At 37.8% G+C, this 23,750-nt stretch overlaps 1 long non-coding RNA gene across 3 annotated transcripts in view, besides 1 other annotated feature; it reads right to left on the reverse strand.

The window, feature by feature from the left end:
• Nucleotides 1,978–2,067: a silencer, noted in NCBI's record as "silent region_17696". NCBI's record gives its function as "represses an Ori minimal core promoter by ATAC-STARR-seq in GM12878 lymphoblastoid cells {active_cell/tissue: GM12878}" and the evidence as "EXISTENCE:reporter gene assay evidence [ECO:0000049][PMID:35858748]".
• Nucleotides 4,908–23,750, reverse strand: part of LOC105378066 (uncharacterized) — a 122,515-nt gene continuing 103,672 nt past the window's right edge. The window contains exons 6-8 of one of the 3 annotated variants that reach the window (NR_187983.1): nt 9,097–9,283; nt 8,007–8,080; nt 4,908–5,072 (exon numbers count right to left, since the gene is read on the reverse strand). This is a non-coding gene — a long non-coding RNA (uncharacterized LOC105378066). Of the gene's footprint in view, nt 5,073–8,006; nt 8,102–9,096; nt 9,284–23,750 lie in introns of all 3 variants that reach the window. The other 2 variants (NR_187984.1, NR_187985.1) reach the window with 2 other exon arrangements.

Below are 23,750 nucleotides of genomic sequence, written 5' to 3' on the forward strand. Positions count from 1 at the left end.
GGCCCCTGTGTGTGATGTTCCCCTCCCTGTGTCCGTGTGTTCTCGTTGTTCACCTCCCACTTATGAGTGAGAACATGCGGTGTTTGTTTTTCTGTTCCTGTGTTATTTTGCTGAGAATGATGGTTTCCAGCTTCATCCATGTCCCTGCAAAGGACATGAACTCATTCTTTTTTATGGCTGCATAGTGTTCCATGGTGTATGTATGCCACATTTTCTTTATCCAGTCTATCGTTGATGGGCATTTGGGTTGGTTCCAAGTCTTTGCTATTGTGAATAGTGCTGCATCATGCCAGTTAGAATGGTGATCATTAAAAAGTCAGGAAACAACAGATGCTAGAGAGAATGTGGAGAAATAGGAATGCTTTTACACTGTTGGTGGGAGTGTAAATTAGTTCAACCATTGTGGAAGACAGTGTGGTGATTCCTCAAGGATCTAGAACCAGAAATACCATTTGACCCAGCAATTCCATTACTGGGTATATACCCAAAGGATATAAATCATTGTACTATGAAGCTTAGTTTTAAGCATTATAGAGTGAACACATTTCACTTTTACTCTTAAATTTAAGGCATTGTTCATACTACCAGAGCATGGTTCTTCCTTCTGGTGACTAGAACGAATGTTTGGGGTGGTCACCAAGGTGAGATCTATGCTCAGGTCTCAGCTGAGCAAGAGTTGACCTATGTTGGGCATCATGAAGTCTCTCTGACAATGAGCAATGTAGCATTGAGCCTAGGACATCTGAGTAGCCCTTTGGCAGATTTCTGGGACATCCATGCATTTTCCACTTCTCTGGAGTTCTGCCTGTCAAGTTCTAACTGCTTCAGTATCAGAAGATCAGGAATGGAGCTCACTGCTTCAGCTCCCCCTTCCCTGCATTGCATTTAGAAACGCTCCCAGGCTGAAAGCCGGCGTGCACATGGTACTCACTTGTAAACATGCTTCTATCCAGGATCCCAGCTCTATGATGCTTGCTTTCTAATGCCTGAAAACAGGGTTTTTTTTTTTCATATATTTTGCCAAACTTTATTGTTATTTACAGTGGGGAATAAAAAGATAACCAGCTTCTTCATTATCTTTTGTACTACAATTGACTACTTTTTAAACATAATACAATGTTAAGATTCCAAATGGGAAGGAAAAAACTATATACACTACTTCAGTGTTTTATTATCATAACGTGGAAGTTAAAGTCTTTCTCTTTTGACTTCTTTCAGGCAGCACACATTTATTTTTTGTGTCAGTTTCTCTACTGCCTAGCTACTTTACATTTTATCCCTGAAAAAATATTTCTAAGGCAGTGTTGTTTTTATTTTTACTGGTATCCTTTGGTCTGGTTAACCTGATTAATTTAAAGGAAATAGCACTGAGTCCAGTATTTGGAACTGTAGAGACAGAGAATGAAATTTTCAAGTACAGATCTGTCTAACACACAGTAGAGACAGCCAGATAACTAACGCTTATCTGGAAATCCTACTCTATAACAAACATTTTTGTTTTATTGGACACAGAATGTAATTTGAGTCACAATTATCTTTCATATGAGTCTATATTGTTATTCAGATGAGTTATGAATCTGTGATTACTATTTCCATTGTTGAAGTATTGATGCTGTCTTTTTGACCTGGTGATATAAGATATGTAGGCGACAAGGGTAAGCCCATTAAAGTGGTAGAATTTGGCAGGTTCTTGAGTAGGAATTTCAAATCAATAATTCTTCTTTGGAAACTGTGATCTATGGAGCTGGAATGAGGTAATTTGAACACTTTTTAATTCTTTTTTTTTTTTTTTTTTTTTAGTTATGGTGGCTAAAGAAATTGTATTCTGAAATCCTTTTTTTTTTAGTTTGGTAGCTAAAGAAATTTTATTCTGAAATAACACAGGTCTTCATAAAGTGAGACATGTAAATAGTACAAAACAAGTTATATTTTGTATAGATCATGAAATAGAAAGTATAGCTTGTATGGTTTGATTTCTAGTAATGAGTCACATTGCTCATGAAACGGGAAAGATTGCCTTGCCCCCTGGCAGGGCGTGCGATGGGGGTGTGGTTTGCTTCTTCAGTGACCCGCTGCTCAGCCCTCTAGGGGAAGCACACAGACGGGCAGGCTGGGGGCTCCAACTCCCCTGACAGTGTCTAGGGGTGAATAGTTTACAGCTCTTGCAGCCCCAGTGGCTGTGTTACAGGTGCTCTCTTAGTTTGCAGTTTATAGGTGGCTTGTGTTAACCAGCTCAATTAGACCCCGTTCCTTATCACAAGGACGGAGGTTTTTCTGTATCCCGGGATTTCTTGCCTTGGTGTACCAGAAGAATCAGATCACACGTGGGCTTGAAGTGCAAAGTTTTATTGAGTGGAAGTAGCTCTCAGCCTCAGCCAATGTGGATGCCAAAAGGGAGATGGTTTTCTTCTGGAGCTGGGCAGCTCAGTGGCCCCAACTTTCCTCCCACTGCCCTGGCCAAACTCCATCTCATCCCACAGGTGGATGGCCTGCCAGCCTGCCGGTGCCAGCTGTTGTGCTTTTCTGCCCGCAAGCTCTCAACTAACAGCCGCTTGTGTGTTAACCTCCAACGTGTTCCTCAGGACATCCAGCCACTTCTGTGTCTCCCTGCTAGGGTCTCGGGGCTTTTATAGACACAGGATGGGACGTGGCAGGCCAGGGTGGTCTTGGGAAATGGAACATTTGGGCAGGAAATGCCTGTCCTCACCTAGGTCCGTGGGGGTGGAGCCCTAGCCAGGGACCCGCCTTTCCTACCCAGCACTTCACTTCCCAGTTCCCAATCATTTAAAGGGACCAAGCTCTTCCCTTCAGAGTGCTCCACTATCACTAATGATGGAACTAATTCTTTAATTTTCCTAAATGAAGAATAGATATTCATAGTACAAAATAATTGAATAGGGGCACTGGAACAGCAATTATTTCACCTTAACATCTTTAAAAAAACAGCTCAAGTTACCAATGAGTTGCTCCTATGGGTTTAACTAGTATGAATTAATTAACAGCCAAGGAAGACAATATCACAATACTTTTAAAATTCTAAAGACTCAGTGTGTCTTCTAAATAATTTAACAGAATAATGAAAACAGTTTAAAATAAATAACATGACCATTATGAAGTCCTAAATCTAAAACACTACTTTTAAAATAATTTTACTTTTAAAAATTATTTTTAACTGATACATAGTAATTATACATATTTATGCAGTACAATGTGATGTTTCAATATATGTATGCATTGTGTAATGATCAAATTAGGGTAATTGGCATGTCTATCAACTCAAACGTTTATCATTTTTTTGTGTGTGGTGGGAATCAGATGCATCTTAAAATAGTTGTCTACAATTAATGTGACATATTTTCATTTTATCCAAAAGTCATTATTGAAATATTTTCCCTCAAAATTAATAAGCAATGAAGGTAGAATGCTATTTTCTTTTGAAAAGAAAATATGTGAGATAGAAAATTTGAGAAGTTACATGTGAGATCATTATTTTGTATTTGTTTTAAAAATAAGACAAACTAGATATAAAAAATTAACACATTAATTAATATATTTAAACATTTCTTGATACCTCTAGTAGACTCTTTTCTAATCACAGAATTTTTATTGGCCACCTAATGTCAAGATCCTTCTATTCGCTGTTAGCGTTAGAGATTTCCCATGAATAAAAAGTAATTAACAATGTTTTCTTTTTGTTTCAGAAAATAGCCAACTTACTTTCTGTTTTCACAAAATGTACTTCTTAAAATACAATCTTTTTACCAAAATGATTTAGTCTCGGTTCAATAGGAATTTACATTTTCCTTCTTTCAGAACTTCACACTTCAAACAGATTCCAATCAATGCCTCTATGAGTGTTTTAGGCAATTTGAATTGATAGTTAACTTGCAGAAAACTCTTAGGATTTCTTCTTGTCTGCTTTGGGAGATGAAGAAAATGCGGTTCTGTTGAAATGGATGCCAAATAGGGGTACCTGTGTTCAAAGGTTGTATCTCTAGTTCTGCTGTAAACTTGGGGACTGCAGACTTTATTTTTTTAAACTATGCTTAATGGTTAAAAGCCTGAACCCTGCGGATAGACAGATCTGAATTTGAATTTGGCCCCAGCACATATTTGGCTGCATGATTCAAGAAAAATTAATTAAATTATTAGACTTATTTTCCTCTCTTGAAAAATGTTTATAGTGATCGTGTATCACAATAAATAGAAGAAATTGATTGGCAAATAAGCATTTAATGGACATATTAATATATTTGTTATTTCTGCTGTTATAGCTGTTTATCAGTAAATTTATACTCGACATAATAACTTCTGAAACAGTTTTACCCTTCTCCTGCAACCGCCCGCTAGTCCATGGTATTATAATTTCAAAAACATTATTATTTCACTGTGCTACTTTAAAAAATCCTCCCTTTTTTCAATCTATCTTATTTTTTCTCTGAATCATTCCTTAATCTCTATAAACCTGAGCAGGAAGACTCTTAATACTTGTTTCCAGTGTTTTCCATATTGCTTTTGTACAGTATGTTTGCTAAACCATTGATAAACAATTTTAAATGATGCTATAGATCTACACACTAAATGTTGAATAAAATAAAAGGCAGCAACAATTAAAGATGAGTTCAGGCCATTTCATCAACTGATGTATTGTTCATCAAGATTATATTGAACAAAGACAATAAATGCAGTCATGGTGACATACACTGTTCCAATCTTTTTAGCATTTAAATCAGGAGAAAATACGTCTTGATCAAGCAACACTATCTAATTGGTGGGGATCCTAGCATGTCATTGCCTGGATTTTTGATGCAAAAAGAGACAGACTCCAAGGATTAAGAATTAGACTAGGGAATGCAACTTGGTCATTTTTTTGATTTGTGGTGATTTTATTATGGATACAGAGCATATTCTTCTTACATTGAACACTTTATTGAAGCTAAGGGGTGCCGCACATTGCTTGAAAAGGTTAGCCTATCCCAATGAGCAAATAGGCATGTACTATGTCAAGAGGAGGACTTGAACTTTCTGACAGCCTTTCCAGCATGAGAAGGAAGAGCTTCAAGATGTCTCACCTAGAAATCCAGACGCATACCCTATTATTTATGCAGCACATTTTATGGAGGTAGTCTGAAACTGGCTTTAAATACTTAAAAGGACAATGGTATTGTATTGTCCAGAGGGTTAATACTTGATGATGTAGCTGAAATGGTTTAAATGTGTGTCCCCTCCAAATATCACGTTGAAATGTGATCCAGTGATGTTTGAGATGGGGCCTATTGGGAGGTGTTGGATCATGGGGAGGGACCACTCACGAATGGCTTGGCGCCATCCCCTTGGTGATGAGTGAGTTCTCGCACAGTTACTTTCGCTGGAGAGCTGGTTGTTTAAAAGAGCCTGGCTCCTCCTCTTCCTCCTCCTGCTCCTTCTCCTTCTCCTCCTCCTCTTTCCCTTCCCCTTCCCCTTCCCCTTCTCCTTCTCCTTCCTCTTCTCCTTCCCCTTCTCCTTCCCCTTCCCCTTCTCCTTCTCCTTCCTCTTCCCCTTCTCCTTCTCCTTCTCCTTCCTCTTCTCCTTCCCCTTCTCCTTCCCCTTCCTCTTCTCCTCCCTCTTCTCCTTCCCCTTCTCCTTCCCCTTCCCCTTCTCCTCCTCCTTCTCCTTCCTCTTCCCCTTCTCCTTCTCCTTCCTCTTCTCCTTCCCCTTCTCCTTCCCCTTCCCCTACTCCTCCTCCTTCTTCTTTCTCTCTCTCTCTCCCCCACTGTCACTTTCCCTCTCTTCACTTCCCTGTCTCCCCTCTGCCTTCCACCATAACTACAAACTTCCTGAGGCCTCCCCAGAAGCGGAGGCCATGCTGGTGCTGTGCTTGTATAGTCTGCAGAACCATGAGCCAAATAAACCTCTTTTCTTTATAAATTACCCAGCCCCAGGTGTTCCTTTATAGCAACACAAATAAACAGTAACTCATAGATTTACCAGGAGTCAAACACTTGATAAGAGGAAGTATAATAGTGTCATCAAGAAGACAGGTTTTGAGCTCAGATAGCTATGATCAGTATCAGGGCCCATCACTTACTAGTTGTTTGACCTTGGGCAAAATAGTTGATCTCTTAAGGTCTCATTTTTCTCACCTATAAAATGAAGCATTAACTCCTGCCTTATTAGGGGATGGTGAAAATAAAGTGAAATAATATAGATAAAACTCTCACAGTGCATGGCCATTAGTAAGTGCTCCCAAATAAGAGCCTCTATTATTTATAGATGTTTTGACTATTTAAATGGCAAATAATACAACATATTTGTTATCCTAACAAAATAGCAATCTCTGTTTTATGTGTTTTCATTTACTTGCAGGAGTTGAGAACTTCCTTACATCGAAATCACATTACAAACAATGAAGATAAAAAATGTTTATTAGTACTCATTGTGTTTAATATTTCTTGATTGTTTTTGTTTTGTGAAGCATCTTGCTGGAGACATGACATGACTCTAACCAAGGCTTGGTCTTTTAGGCATTTATTTTTGTGCCTGTTCTAGAACAGGAGTAATAAAGACAGGCAAAATAATATTTCTAATTAGGTTAATTATGCTTAGTCAGTTAATCACAAGGTGCATAAATTTATCTCTAAACTGCATGAGCCTAGAAGCTCCTTACTGAAAACCACACGTTTTTCATTCAAAATTGGGGAAAGTGAGGGCAAAATATATTTAAGGTTTTTTGCCTAGATACATTTTGCTCTGATTTGATTTTAATAGAACAAGTCTGGCAAGAATAAGGCCATGGTATTCTGTCAGTTAATTAATGGTTCCTATCAGTGAATAACATCAATTTGATGTATTTCATTATCCTTGTAAATTAGAAGGCGCTGTTTGGACCTGCATGGAGATGTGAATGGCAGGGAGCCACACCCATTCTGCCTGATCTATTGCACTCACAGTTCAGCTGTGGGGACCACCCTTTGTGGCCATCTCAGTATCTTTATGCCAGATTTTCATTTAAATTGGCACATTTAATTGTAGACAGACATAGTAAGCCTTCTCTAAAACTTGTCATTTATCCTGTTTGTATCCTAACCTTTTCCATAGTATAAGCGGAGAGTGCTATCTACATCCCCAAATAGTGTATCAATCCTACAGATAAATGTTTGTAACAGTTTCCAAGAGGGTGAAAATAAAATTAAATTATCTGAATAAAGCTCTCATAGTGCATGACATACAATAAGTGTTCCCAGAGTAGCCACTATTATTTGTAGATGTTTTGAATATTTAAGTGGTAAGCAATACAATATATTAAATTGGCCATTGCATTTTCCTTAGGCCTATCTGATTAAGGAATATTGACTTTTTAAATTTGTTTTGCTTATTTTCTTTGTTTGTCTCATTAACTAAATCTATATTAAAGGAATCAGTTTTTGATGTGCTTCTCTCCGCCCCCACTAAAGTCTAGTCCTCCTTAAAATAAGATCAATTCAGAAAGGAATGCCTAAAAGCAGATGTAACATTTTCTGCTGAATTTAAAAACCATTTTTCTCTATATAAAACACCTTGTGAATAAATTCATTATTATTAACTGCTTACAGCATGTTTATCTGTGCCTTTGGCAATATAAGTAACGCCAATCTGTCTATATGCTGATGAGACATATGGCAAACAAAGGCAGATATAAATTTGGGTCAGGAGACACATTTTAGTCTTTTGGACATAGAGTTCTGTAGACTCTGCTGATGTGAACTGGGCAATGTTGCATATTTTCTGGAAGGCCCAATTCTGAGGTAGTACTAACTTTCTTCAGGCTACCATGTAGGTCTTTCCTGAAAGAAACAGTTTATTCCAAGTGTGACTAATTTATTCCTAATTAAGCTCATTACATTATGGACATTTTAAATAGAGTTTGATGGATTCTTGAGCTGGCATTTTGTAAAGGTCACGATTAGTGAATTTTAAGTTAATGGACTCTACTAAAAAATTCTACTGTTGCTGATCCAACTTAGCAATTAATATTCAGACTGACTTACCTAACACACTTCTCAGCGGTGTGACCTTGAGTACGTTGTTTTACTTTTTGTGACTCACATTTCTCAAAAGTAAACTGGAGGCAATAACAATATTCCTAAAGTAAGTAATTTTGACTATTAAATCAAGTCAAATAACTAATGTAAAGTTATTTGCAGTGTCAAAATATTCACTCAGTATGTTATTCAATGACGGTGAAATGTATTAATACTCTTAGATAAGTCTTTGAGATCAAACATACATTGTTGTGAAAATAAGAAAGCAAAGCAAAGAAGCCAATGAGCATTATAGAAGCAAATAAGAGCTTCTAGTCAAGCACCTCCATGGTCTTTCTTGCTTTCTAGGTTAAGGATAAACAGGGTAGGTGGAATAGCAATGTAGGCTGAGGGCTGAGAGGCAGGGTAGACGGTTCCATCATGAGCCTGATCCTGTATGGAGTGAACTCCCTCTACACATTCTTTACACATTGAAAATAAAAGCAAAAACGACGATGACAAAAATGAATTACTATCTAGATTCTAGTTGTTATAGTGAAAGGAATTATTGATGTAACTGGCTTTCAATATGAAAGTTTTCATCAGTAAATCATCCCACTTTTTGCTTTGATGAGGATTAATCTTGCAATTTTAACTTATTGGCGCCAATTTTTCTTTCTCTGAAACTTCCTATAGAGTTAAACCTTCAAGCTCCAGTGAAGTTGGCTGACATTTCGTTATTTTTGTGTCTCATCAAATTATTTACCTTGCCAGGCATTTACCACCCACTCTTCTTCTGTAATTTCAATTCAAATTTATTTTAAAGAACAAATGTCTTGCCCTTGCTGATGAGAAAAGAACATTAGCGGGGAAACAGAGGAGAAAAACATAAGAAACTCATTAGAAAAAGAGGCATCATTTTTGTCACACCATTTGGGATATCATAGATTTGATGGGGAGGCACTGATGGAATATCCAAGCAAGTAAATCCAATTTTTAGAGGGTGCAATGCTCAGTTCTGCAAGGATTCTTAACTCTCATCTACTGAATTATGGCATCACATTTGTCTTGCCTCTGCCAAGAAATTCACTTGTAAATATTTCTAATATATACATACCTTTTAAGATAGTTCAATTTTTTGAGGCGCGAGAATGTCCTCTATTTCATTATGTTTATTTTTGGTCTCTCATGATGAAGCGAGTTGAAGCTGGCGTGCCTGGATGTGCTGCATAGGCGTAGATTACATGCACATTCTCACACTTCCTACTCCACTTTGCTTCTTCCTTCTGCCCCTCCACACCTGGCTGCCACCACCACATGCCCAAACAACACAAGGAAACAGTCTAAAAATGACCGAGCTATGAGTTTTTATATTAAAAGTGCATGGAAAGTTTTGAAATCATTAGTGCGATGCCACCTAATACTTTAATGTATCACAGCAATTATATTTTCATGCAAATTTATTAAATCACAACATATTCCAGACAACCTCTCCAAACTAGGTAACTAAGGTTAGTTTGAGGTCCTTAAGGGGGATGTGCGATGCAGTGTCAGAATGGTCTCTGCGTTCAAAGAGACCTGGGACAAAGTGTGCTTCCCCACTTAGCAACCTCGTTAAGTTATCTTACGCAAAGTTTAGCTGGCACATTTGTAACATGTCGATAGTGACATTTATCAAATAGGATTAAAGGGGACAGGTGTATAAATCTCTTTCCTTTGAGAAAATGGCAAAACCAAAATTGTCTTCCTAGTTTTATGTGTGGTTTTTACAGCAGTGACAACAAAATCATTGTTGGCTATGTGAACATTAACTCCAGGTCACACTTGCTCCAACAGGAGGCTTAGCAGGGGTCTTTCCATTCCACTGGCAGAAAGGAATGATGGATAGCAGGGGAAATAAAATACATGTGTAGATCTCTGCCTCATCCAAATATCCTGCTGAAATACCAGCACGGGGGGAACAGAAAGAAATGAGCCACCAGGCAAAGAGCTCAGGAAAGGAAGCAACAGTAAATGAGAAACATCAGTAAATTTTTAGAGGCTGAGAAACAGATGTATTAGCAGTCAGAGGCTTAGCAGAGCTGAGAAAGCTGAAATCCAGGGCAGCAGAAGAAAATACCATTTAGAAACGAGCTAATTTACAGAGCAGAACCCATTAAAGGCTAAGGAATTAGAAGCTCTATAAGCCTCAGGATGTGGAGGCAAGAGCTGGGGTGAACACTGGGAGGTTAATTGTGTGTCTCCATAAGAAGCCCTTAGACCCTTTAGAAGAAATTCTTCTTCATCTGTGCTTAATAAAACTACCCCTGTGACATTTATTCAATGCATAACTAGAACTAGAGGGAATAATGACAGAAGGAAGGGTAGGAACTAAGGTATCTTATTAGAAACAGAAATTAGATAGAAGTTTATGTACTTTATACCCCCTTCCACTGTTTCACTTTCTAAGAATGTTGAAAATTCTTTGTAAAAGTTTAGTGGCTCAAAGAAAATACCTACAGACATTGCTTTTTGGAAGAAGCCAAGTGTAACATTTGGTTCTTGCCCAGTTTCCTTTGGTTAAGCCCACTAGTTGACCACCTCTTGCTCCAGTACACAGAGATTTTTAACTGGCTTTGTAGTGCCTAATGAATAAAGAAAGTAACTCTTAAGGAAAAAAAGGTAATTCATGGAAAAGAAAGCATCAAAGAAGTGATAATATCTTCCAAGAGAAGAAAAAATCTAGGCACCCACAAAACAACCACTAGATGCTTTTTCCTGGAAAACAGACAAAGAAAGATCTCATAAGTGTCGCCCCTCCCCCTTATTCCTATGAATGTAGAAAAAAATCAAGTTGGTGAAATTTTTTAGAAAGAACAGGCAAATATATAAAAACTGCAGAAAAAAAGACAAGACAATTAGAGGATCATTGCAGGAGAGTCCAACATCCAAACAATAGAAGTTCCAGGAAAAGAAAACAGAATTTTTCTCAGAAAAATTCAGAACCTTCTATACCTATCAGAACCTTCATCAGAGCCTTCTATACCCACCACCATTGAAGAGTAGGCCCCTACCATGCCGAGAGTAACAAATGACCTCCTGAGGAGTTTAAACTCCATCATTAGCCTTCAATACAGAAACTGTGCACTGATGTTTCAGCTCACCCTTCCAGCAACCCACAAGTAAAAGTGGGGATCTTATACTCTCATCAGCAGGGGTCAACAAGGTATCATAGAGTGGGACTAAACAGCTTCTGTAGATCTCATTATTTCCATGAACGAGTGTCAACAAAGGAATCCAGACACCTGTTCTTTCCTTTACCCCAACATCCAAAGCTTCACCACTATCATCTTCCTTGAATCCACAGTGACTTATAAATATTATTACACCTTTTCTTCCTTTTAATGTTAATCATCTCTCATCTTTTACACTAATTTTCACAAAGGTCAACTATCCTCTGTTCTACTCCTTTTCTCCATTCTTTCAAAAATTCTGAAAGCTTTTTCACGATTTCATCTAGATATTATGGCTCATCATTATCAAATGTTATGTATGCTCTTCTCTGATTACAATATGCTCTTCCTCTGTAATTATTTCACCTTCTTGCTCTAACAGAATTCTGAGTGTTCTGACTACTCCACCTTCTTTGCAGCCCTCTTAAGTGGTAACTTTTATATTCTACCCAAGGGCATGTGTTGAGGAAATGTCCTTATTATTCCTCCTTGCTGTTTTCAAACCATTCTCCTTCCCTCCTCCCTAAAATCCTCTGTCTTTGAATATCATCTCATTAGATTGTATCCTCAACATGATTATCATCTAAGAGGGTCCTTGTCTCATTCTCACTGATTCCTTGATGATCCACATTTTTATTCCCTGTCACTCTTTCTGACATTACTTCTGATTTTCTTCCTGTTGATTTTAAGATACACATGGATAATATTTCTAACACATTGGCCTTTTTCTTTCTAAGACTCCTCTGCTTCAGTAATGTTACCCTTCGCCCTCCCTCAGTCATAACTCTGGTGGTCGTATTCTAGGATTTTTCATTGTCAATAACTGCAACCCCTCCATAATTTCAGTTTTATACATTTCTTGCTGACTGCCTCCACTAACATTTCACCTGACTTCATCTGACACTTTAACAGTCTTTCAACCCTACCAGGACCTCCAATTCTTAGGTCCTCCCTCATTTTTATTCCCTAACATTCTATTTTTTTTTCTTTATTCATCTGAAATTCCATGGTCAATCACTGCAGTCACCCTTGACTCTCTCAATCCCATTCTTCTCCCTGGTTCTTGTCGGGTAAAATCTCAAAAATGACTATGTCAGACTTTCTGCCTATACCATGCCTGCCCCTATGAATGTAGCTGGAGTTAAATTCACAGCTTTATTATTCTCGTTTTAAATCAGAACCAAAAACTTCAACCTGTTTTTAAAACTGACCAGTCATCATACCATATGCTCAGGAATCATACTGTATTACTGTAGTATACTTCATGCATTCTCCCACTCTCCCAAAAGATATTTCACATTTTTTTCTCTGCCTTCTGAACTTCTAACGTCTCTTCCTCTATCTCTCCTCTCAGCTGATCACTGTACCTCCTACTTTCCTTTAAAATTTGAAGTACTGGAAGAAAATTGCTACACATTGTCATCTCCACATCTATCTGCAACCTATGTTAGTAATCCTATATTCTGTTTTAACCCATTCCACAGCTTTATTAAGCACCTCTGAATAAGCTAGGGCATAGAGACGCAAACATGAATCCAGCATGGTTCTTGCCTTCACAGAGTGCGTGGTCTCAATATCTGGTCCAGCAGCCTTCAGGGAAGGTAGAATTCAATTGTCTTTCCTCTGGGGAAAAGACAACTTTATTACCTCTGCCCTGTTATTTACTGAAGGTTTAGAACTAGCAAACTCCTCTTTCAACTTTTATCCACCTGACAGCAGAGTGGAGAATTAAACAGCACATAATTATTCAAATTAGCAAGTATTAAATTCAGCTTATAATAATAAAGAAAAAGAGCATGGCACTGCTGATTACTGCAAATGATTAAGACTTCTGAGTAAGCGATGAGTGCTTGTACTTAAGGGCCGGCTGGTCCCATGGTGATGGCACAGTGCCATCTGCTGGAGTGCCAGTCCTGGCTCAAAATGTGATCCAACCAGAGAACGTGCTTCAAGAGTTGTGTAATTGGACTGACAATTCTGTTTCTGAAATCATGTCTAATTACAAAACTACTCAAAGATTTAACCTTCCTCAAGTCAGAAAAGAGGTTCAATCTGAGAGAAGAGACACAGTGTCCTGATATGAATCATAATGAATGTATAATTTTGAGAGCTAAAAGGGACTTTTGAGATCAGCTGGACCAAACTATTCAATCATTTTATAGATGAGAAGAGTGGGGTCCAGATGTCACATATGACTTCTCAAAGGTGATATTATAAGCATGGGATGGTGCTGGATCTAGAACTCTTAAATCAGTTATCCTTCTTCCACATGTATATTTTGTTCCTTATTTTCTACACTCAGCCGGCTGTTTTCTGTTAGGTGCTATATTATGTATTATCTAAATTATATTTATATTTCTTAGTATTTATTTATTTATAATTTTTATTTTACTTTAAGTTCTGTGATACAGGTGCAGAACATGCAGGTTTGTTACATTGGTATACGTGTGCCATGGTGGTTTGCTGCACCCATCAACCCATCATCTAAGTTTTAAGCCCCACATGCATTAACTATTTGTCCTGATGTGCTCCCTCCCCTCCCCACCACTGACAGACCCCAGTGTGTATTGTTCCCCTCCCTGTGTCCATGTGTTCTCAAATAAGTATGTATATTAAAAACTTAACTTCTTTATAAATGGATACGAGAGGTGTTCTAATTCAATTTCAGTTTTCATTTTACTGATGACAGTTACCTAAGGAAACGTTCACATTTCCTGACTCCTAGCCAGTGCTCTTTCTCCTATTTCAGTGTTGTTTTAAAAGACTATCTCAAACACAGACATGGCTGGTTAATTACAAAACAAAATAAAACGAACAAAAAGCCAACTAAATTGCATACCTTGAATTTCTGACAGCTTATAATAGCATTATTTTTAGTTTTTAAATAAAAATTATTATAGTTCTGAAAAGCTGTGCTCTCTCACAAAAGCCAGAATATTATAAATTTAGTTCTCCATTAATGCCTGGAAAAATTACTTCTTGCTGGTGCCAAAACCATGCTATAGTGACATTAAATGACAAACAGATGTTTTTGTATTGTGTTGTTCAAGAACCATGTTAATGAGATGAATATACTTGGAAATTTGGAAATATGCAATCAGATATGTTTCTATCTTACTAGATCTTACTTGTAAATGGGTTTGTGGAAATAAATTCAGATGCTATTTGAAAAGATGTGTCTCATGAGGTAATAAATATTTCTCTAGTAGAAAAGCAATATGGAAGGAGAAAAAATACATTAAAGTAATGTTTTTCCCAGCCAATAATTTGTAAAACATATATTCTTATTATATACCTTTCATAGGCAAACAAATCTAATTTTAAAACTAGTGATATGAATTTGTTTATTGGACAAGTGTTATTTAATTCCTATCACATGTTGGGCATCTGCCCACAATGCTAGGTGCTGCCATCACACAAATAAAAGAGCCCAAGAACTCACGGTGTAGGGATATAACACCGTGTCAACCAAAAAAAATCATTTGATGTTTTAAGATAATAGAAAAATCCTTCCTCATCCTGGATAAGAATCCTCTCCTGGTTTTCCTTCTGCATATCTCTGTTTTACTAAAGATATCTTTCATGAAATAGGCTGGCTCTAAACCTCCAGGACATGTTTGAGACACAAAAGGAACATAAAACGACTTTCCATTTTTCATTCAATATTTGCATATATTCATCTATCATTTATTTTTACAATTATCAGGGATTTATGATGGTTGCTTTCTCTAGATCAATCTGGACATAAGTAATCTTTGTAATCGTTAGCTTTTCTTCCACTATTACAGCTATTTATATCTCTTGTAACACTCTTTCAAGAATCAATGTGGTACAGTATGCTACTCATTTTATTAACAAATTAGAGCCTCTATGAATACTTTATGATGCCAGTTTCGCAAATCTATCCATGACTAGATGTGTCCCCAACCAACCTTTTGGTTAAAGTCTCTTTTTAACATTTGAATGATTCTTTAAATCTGGTCCTCATCTTGTCACCTGTCAGCTGTTCCACTGGACACATTACAGTCATAAGTCTTATTTTAAAAGGTAGGCAGAGTCAGGCGTGGTGGCTCATGTCTGTAATCCCAGCACTTTGGGAGGCTGAGCTGGGTGGATCACCTGAGGTCAGGAGTTTGAGACCAGTCTGGCCAACATGGTGAAATCCTGTCTCTAGTAAAAATACAAAAAAATTAGCCAGGCGTTTTGGCACTTGCCTGTAATCCCAGCTACTTGGGAGGCTGAGGCAGGAGAATCGCTTGAACCCAGGAGGTGGAGGTTGCAGTGAGCCGAGATGGCACCAGTGCACTCCAGCCTGGGAGGCAGAGTGAGACTCCATGTCAAAAAAAAAAAAAAAAAAAAACCCCAAAAAACCCAAGGTAGGCAGCATCAAAACAAAAAAGTAAGGTAAACCATAATACTTAAATACACACGAGACCATTTTTTAACCATGAAATTGCTGAGATAATAATTTTCTAGGTAGACTTCTATATTTTGTTTTTATTGTTAAGTCAATGTAAGATTGCAATAGAATGCCTCTTGACTGGTAATGGAGATCAATATTCAAACCTAATACTTAAATCCCAAGTGACAAGAAGATGACTAAAAATAACACAGGCTGCAAAAGTCTGAGTCATATAATGTCACTGAAGGGAACAATCAGAGGTTTGGTGAAATAGTATTTTTGTGAAGCAGTCTATTTAAAATGACCTGATGGTATTTATAATACTGAGCCGATCATCTCAAAAAATGATTCTCTAGATTGAATAAAGAGAATGTATTCAATATAAGAGCCAGTGGAGTATAGACGTTAAAAACAGAGGTTCTGGAAGAAATTTCCTAGATTTGGGTGTGGGCTTTTACAACTACTGACTAGGTGATCTGGATCAAATTATTCTGTACTGAAGTTTTTCCATCAATAAAATCTCAATCACAATAATCCATACTTCATAACTTTCTTGTGAAGGCCAAATGAGTTAGTATGTAGAAATCACTCACACCAATGCCTAAAATGCCCAACAGGATTATTTAATTGTATTCACCCTCAAAATTTTGCAGCAGTGTGGACCTTAGCAGTAGTTAATGTTTTATGAATTCATATGATTTTTAAACATAAATAACAAACAAATACACAAACATGAAACCACACAAGTAAGCCTCAGTGATCCTAAAACTGGAAAACATAGAATCTTATTCCTACCCATGTGTGTGAGCTATCTAACCTGCCTTAGTAAGATAAGTTAGATAGCTTTCAGTAAGCTATCTAACCTATCTTAGTAAAATAAGACAAAAATGTCCTTGTATTAGGGATGGTCTAAGGAGAAAGTTCAGTCATAAGTATAAAATGTTAGAAAATGGATTCGTCACTATAGAACATGGAAATATTATTATCAACACCATTGTTACCTTGGTGGAAGAATGTAGAAATCTCTCACTCAAATAACAAGAAATCACTCATTTAATAGATTACTTGTAACGCTATTTAAAAACCATGTATCTTTCAGTTGAAAGTACAGCACTGAGTCTGTCTTTATTGTATTCCCCCAACAAATCCAATGGAAATGACAACTAAGTGTATTTGAGGAAATGCATTCATAGCAATTCTTAAAATGAGACAAAGTCATTGGTAACTCAGGGCTTTTGAAAATTTTCAGGAAGATAACAGATGAGATCAGAGTGACAATCTAAACATGAAACAAACACAGAGAGTGGCTAGATGGCATGTGAAAGTGCTCTCCCTGCTCAGCTATGGAAAGGCTCCAAACTCTGGATAAGAAGGCACTAGGCATTTGGGGTGGAAAATGGGGATATAATCATGATTATTAATCAAAGGATTAACTGCAGAAATACTGCCAAAGTCCTTGCCCTCCCCACCCCATGCATGCACGGAGTCATTTTTGCCCAAGTTAAAAAAAAAAAAAATCACCACAAAGCATGTTTCTCAAACTGTGGTTGGTTAACCACTTGTATCAGAGTCACATGATGGTCTTATTAATAATTCAGATAGCTGATTTGATTGCAGATCTACTGAGTTGAAATTCTGGGAGCAGAACATTAGATTCTGTATTTCAAACAAATTTCTCAAGTTTTCTCCACTACATTTGGAGAACCATTGTGCCAAAGAAATGGAACCACCAGACTTGGATGGCAAGGTTTCCACTAGAATGTGGTAAAAGCCTAGAATAAAATTTTAATTCTGACCAAGGTGGAATGGGAAACAGAGTGACCATCCCACCTGAAAAAATAAAACATCCTACAGGTTTTTCCGAAATTGGACATCAGGCAGTGCAGCACAGTAATCACCAAGAGAAGGGAAACAGATGAGGGAAAGCCCACAGGTGCCTCAACTTCTGCCCAGCTTATTTGCTGCAGAACAGGGAGGCAGGTGGACCAACATGGGGCCAACGATCACCCTGAGAAGAGAAGAAAGTAGGGGGCTGGGGAGGTGAAAGTGACTGGAATTCATAGGCCAGATTGCAAGAGAGGGGAGAAAAAGAGACAGAGAAAGAGGTAGAGATGATAGAGATAGAGATAGAGATCGAGATCGAGACAGAGACACAGAGATAGAGACAGAGATAGATATAGAGACAGAGATAGAGATAGAGATAGATAGAGATGAGAGAGAGCGAGGGAGATTTGCTCCAAGGGTTTCCCTCAATTCTTTAGCTGACTACTCATCGGCAAATGTGTGCAAAGAAATTACCTAAGGTCAGAGAAAGAAGCATCTAAAAAGAGCAAAAGGAATGATTCCCGGAGCTCACATAGACCCAGGAAGAATTTTTTTGTTTGTTTTCCTACCAGGAAGGAAAACATAATTTATAGGGTGCTGGGGAGAGTATTCAGAAGTTTCTTGCCTCTGTAGCAAGAAAAATTAGCCCTAGACTAAAGTTGCTCTGGTCCCACCTAGCAAGGTTTATTAGTAAGCCTCAGAAGGATTAAATAATTTTCAAGTAGCTTAAGTGCATTCTAGAACAAAGTCAACATTTTTGTAATAATTAGAAATATTTATCACCCAGTAAATTAAAATTCAAAATGCCTGGCTTTCAGTCACAACTTCCCATGAATATGAAGACAAAGGAAAGTTACAGAGTCACTTCAATGAGCGAAGGGAGCATTTTTTCAATAGATGGTGCAGAACAATTTTACAAGCCATATGTTAAAATATGAACCCCAACCCTTACCTCAAACCATATATAAAAATTAACCCTCAATAGGTCATTGTCCTAAAAATAATGACAAAAAGCTACATGATATTCAGAAGAAAACAGGAGGAAATTTTAGTGACCTTAAGTTTGACAAAGATTTCTTACACATGATGCAAACTGTTTAAAAAGTCAATATATTGGACTTCATCAAAATTAAATAATTTTGTTATTCATAGAACCCTGTTTTGAAAATTCAGAAAGCAAAGCCATCACCTAAGATAATATGTTTTGCTAATATATAGCCAAAAAGGAACTGTATCTAGAAAATACAAAAAACTTTATTATTCAACAATAAGACAAACAACCCAATTAAAATGGGCAAAAAATTTGAAGGGTGTTTCACTAAACAAGTTTATATATATATGTATATTACCTGAAAAAGTGTTTAGCATCATTAGTTATTAGAGAAATGCAAATTCAAACCACAATAACATGCCACTGCACTCCCAGTAAATGGGTAAAATCAAGAGGTTTGTCAATATTAAGTCTTGGTGAAGATGTGGAGCAACTGGTTCTCATATACTGCTGGTGACAGTGCACAATGATAAATCACTTTGGAATATGATTTGGAAGTTCCTCAAAAAGTTAGATATTCACCTAGCATATGACCCAGCCATTCCTTTCACACACATTTAGTTTAGGGAAGAAAGCTTACATCCATACAAAAACTTACATTTGAATGTCCATGGTAGTTTTATTCATAATAAACAACAATTGAAAACAACTAAAATATCCATTGGTGAGAGAATGGATAAACAAATTATGATGTATCCACACAGTGGAATACTACTCAGCAAAAAAGGATGGATTATTGATCAACGCAACAACATGGGTGAATCTCACCATAATTATTTTGAGTAAAACGAGCAAGACAAAAAATGTACAAACTGTGTGATTCCACTTATAGAAAATGATAGAAAATGTAACTAATTTGTGGTGTCAGAAATCATATCAATAATTGTCTGGGACTGGGGTAGGCACAAGATGGAGAAATCCATAGGGGCATGAGAAAACTCTTGAAATTAATAGATATCTTCATTACCTTGATTGTGGGAATAGTTTCTTCTGTGTATTCATATGTTAAAACTCATAAAATCTTCACTTACATAATTTTCATTCATGTTGAATGGACAATATTACATATTTATGGCTTTTTCCTGAGTTCCCCCACCCTCTATCACAATATGGTATAAATGGATCTGCACTATGTACGTTGCTAAGCTCACCAGCTCATCAGTATAGGTGATCAAGAAGTAGCATGTGTGTTGGTAAAACATGTGTGCTCCTGGAAGTGTGGAATAAACCCTACGAATATACAAGAGTCTACCACGTCAGTAAGGTTTTTAGGGATTCAGTTGTCTGGGACATGCCAATTATCTTCTTCAAAGTTATGGAAAAATAACTCTCACTCCTTTCACCATTAACAAAGAAATATAGCACTAGGCAGGCCTCCTAAGTTGTGGAGGCAACATATTTCACCCTTTCAATGACCACTTCAATTAATTTGCCAATGATATAACAGAGATGACTTCCATCTTGGATGGATCCTAGGGCAAGAAAGGGCTTGTCAGCAGATCCAGGCTGTTGTGCAAAGTGCCGTGCTGTTTGGCTAATTCAGTGCAGTAAAGTTTGTGCTATTACATGTAACTTAAATGGGGAAAAATGCCATTTGGGTTTATGGCAAGTTCCAGTAGAAGAATTACAGTGTAGCAATGTAGATCTCTTAGTTCTGGAGGGAAAAAAAGTCTTCTTATCAGGAGCAGAGAACTATATATATTATTTAAAAGTCAGCTTCTGTGTGGTACTGGGCCCTGGGAGCAACTGAGTTTCTGACCATGGGATGTCAAATACCCATGAAATCAGAGCTATTCTCCAGTCTACTAAATCACAAGGGGCAGCACACCCAGCAGCAATCCATTTTAAGATAGGGCACATCCGGGATTGGGCAGAAGCAGAACCAGAGTAAACAGCATAGGCAGGTGGTGCAGATGCCCTGCGACTGCAGACTGCAGTGGCCTCTACCTCAGCTCACACCTAAGGGTACATAGAGAACCTTTGCTTGACTCCTGGATGGGTCATCTTATAATGCTTACATTAGGGCACACAGGAAGAGTCCTGCCAAACTTTAAGCTATGACTGCTCTCTGGTCACTTCAACCTCCTCAAACTAAAAGACCAGCAGATGAAGAAAAGGGTTACTATACTCACAGAGATCATTGACACTGATTGTCAGGAAAAGACGGGACTTTTACTTCACAATAAGAACAGGATCAGGTGCTGCATTGAATCTCCATTGATACTTCATTTTAATATTGAATGAAAACATTCAATAGCTACAGACTGAGACTGGCAATAAAAAGGGGCTCAAACCTTCTATAGCAACAGTGGTGCCAGGAAAGAGTGAGTAAAATGTAGAATGGGTGGTGAAGGAAGAGGGTGATTCTCCCTTATGACCTTAAGGAACATCAACTGCAGTAGTGGAGGCTGCAGTTGTCTCACCAACATTTCTCTTGCAAAATCTGGGGATATGAGAGTCATCAGTATCCTGTGGAATCTGTCCTCTGATGTAAGGAACTCACTATAAAAAGCAAGGATAGGTGAGAGACAGAAGTGGTTGACCTAGTGGATACTGTGGTGTCATAACTAGATCCCTTCTTCAGCGCAGACATACCTATCCCCCAAACACTTATAATATCGGGGACTGGTGGCTAACTACTGAGTGTTCACCGGAAAATTTCCAAGGGAAATGTCTTGCCCGAGATAACACCTACTCCTGAGGGCAGCCATTGGCTAATGAATGACTATTTCGTATAAACAAGGTCCTCTCCTCTTGCATCAGTTTGGAACAACTCTGAAGAGCCACAGTTCTAGTCTTCCCGTAGGATCAGCCAAAGTCTCATTTGCCACTGGATTGTGAGCCAGCCCCTGTCTAAATGCAGCCATGCTCAGTTTCTCCCACCTGTATCCCCTGAGACGATTCCCCAAAGAACTGTCTGCATCTAACAGAGTTGGAGTTGGAAAAGTCTTTTTCCAAGGATCCCAATTCAAGACCTGCCTGTGCCTTTTAAAATTAATTTGTCTCCTTTCCACATACACACAGTTCATCAATAATCAGTTTCCCAAATCAGGAAGGAGTGGTACTGGAAAAACAGGAAAGTGGGTCATGTGACAGAAACAAAACTGGCCTGAGCTACCAATATTCATTTGCAATATTCAACCAAGGACTTCATTCAAAAACATTATTGATACTCAAAGACTACTAGACTTTTGAAGGAATGCACCAGCACAATAAAAAGACCAAAATGAATAAACAGAATAATTACTCCTCCAGGAAAGAGAGCTAACTGGGCAAGAGAAGAGGAGGCTAAACATTTTAATTGGTATTCTTGATCTAACTGTCTTTCTCCCAATTACCACTGATGTTGAGTAGCTTTTTATATTCTTATAGGCAATTTGTGTGTTGTCTGCGACTTCCTTATATATACTGTTGAATAACATGTTGGCTATGCCATCCATATCTAATTAAGCCAAAGACGGTTTTGCTTGTTTGTTTTTGTCCTTGTTTTTTTTTTTCTTATTTAACTTCATAGCTCACTTGAATTCTTCCTCTCTCTTTCTGCTGTCTTGAACCAAAGTTCGTTTTTCTAAGGACTGAGTTCTTTGTGTCATCATAATATAGGAGTCATTTTTGACTAGTTTTGATGGGAAGAGTGGCTTCTGTGTTTGAGCATCAACTAAGAACAGTTTCCCAATGGGCAGAAACACTAATTCAGGACTCTCTCACTGTAGTTCTATTAAATGTCCTCTCCTGCCTCTTCTATTTGAGGGCCTTAGTAAATAACCATTATCGATATTAGTGTATATGCTTCCCACGCCCTAATACATTCTTCGCTAGATACACTTGAGCGCATAAGTGGTGTTGAGAGTTTGTGTAGGAGACAGGAGAGGCATTTGTGTATAGTGCATAGGCCCTGGATTGTTAGGCAATGTAGAAGTAGTCATTTGGGTACAAACAATGCACAAAATAGTGGTAACGATGAAATATTTTAGATCCAGTTCCGAACTAGGTAATAAGAAAAAAAATTAGTATCTCTAGAAAAGATGGTGTCTTACAGTGCACCTAATCTATATTTTTTATTCAGTATTACTGGAGAGGCCATTCATAAAATGCAGTGATGAAGAGGGCAGTCTCTGCAGGCTGTTTGTCTATGTTTGAATCCCAGCTTTGTCCTTTGAGGAAAATCACTTCACTTAACAGAACCTCAGTTCCTCGGTCTATGAGTAGCTACCTACTTCCTGGGGTAGAAGTTTGGATTAAATTTATAATACCCAGAACATAGAAGCCACTATGTAAGGGTATATGATTGTTATTTTCTTTAATATTGCTAGCAAAGACTCAGATAGACTAATATTAATAAATCAGTTTTGAAAGCCATTTAGAATAATGTTTAATTTTGTTGTAAATTAAAGGGAGTGTTTTAAAATTACTAATGGTAAACTTCATGGAAATATCATTTGGTTTTATTTATTCTGTGAGTATAAAAAATGTTTTAAAAGTCTAACAATGTGGCCAGGCGCTGTGACTCACGCCTGTAATCCCAGCACTTTGGGAGGCTGAGGTGGGTGGATCACCTGAGGTCAAAAGTTCGAGACCAGCCCGGCCAACATGGCAAAATCCTGTCTCTACTAAAAGAATACAAAAATTAGCAAGGCGTGGTGGTGTGTGCCTATAGTCCCAGCTACTCGGGAGGCTGAGGCAGGAGAATTGCTTGAACCCAGGAGGCGGAGGTTGCAGTGAAATGAGATCCTGCCACTGCACTCCAGCCTGGGCCACAGAGTAAGACTCTTATCTCAAAAAAAAAAAAAAAAAAAAAAAAAAAAAAAAAAAAATATATATATATATATATATATATATATATATATATAAAATTATATTTGCAAACTGCATCATTCCAATTGTTATAGATAGTTAAACACATTTAAGAAATATGTTTTCCACTTCTTTTTCTTTTTTTTTTAGACATGGTCCTGTTCTGTTGCCTAGGCTGGAGTGCAGTGGTGTGATCTCTGCTCACTGCAACCTCCGCCTCCCGGGCTCAGATGATTCTCCCACACCAGCCTCCCAAGTACCTGGGACTACAGGTGTGCACCACTGTGTTCAGCTAATTAGAAAAAAAAATTCTAGATACAGGGCGTCACTATGTTGGCCAAGCTGCTCTCAAACTCCTGGACTCATGCTATCCACCCACCTCGGCCTCCCAAAGTGCTGGGATTACGGCTGTGAGCCACAGTGCCCGACCCCAGAAATGTGTTTCCTAGTAAGATTCTTGTAGGTGGACATTGTATTAAACTGGTTAA

Source organism: Homo sapiens, chromosome 6, assembly GCF_000001405.40.
Source record: "Homo sapiens chromosome 6, GRCh38.p14 Primary Assembly".
NCBI classification, from domain to species: Eukaryota; Metazoa; Chordata; class Mammalia; order Primates; family Hominidae; genus Homo; species Homo sapiens.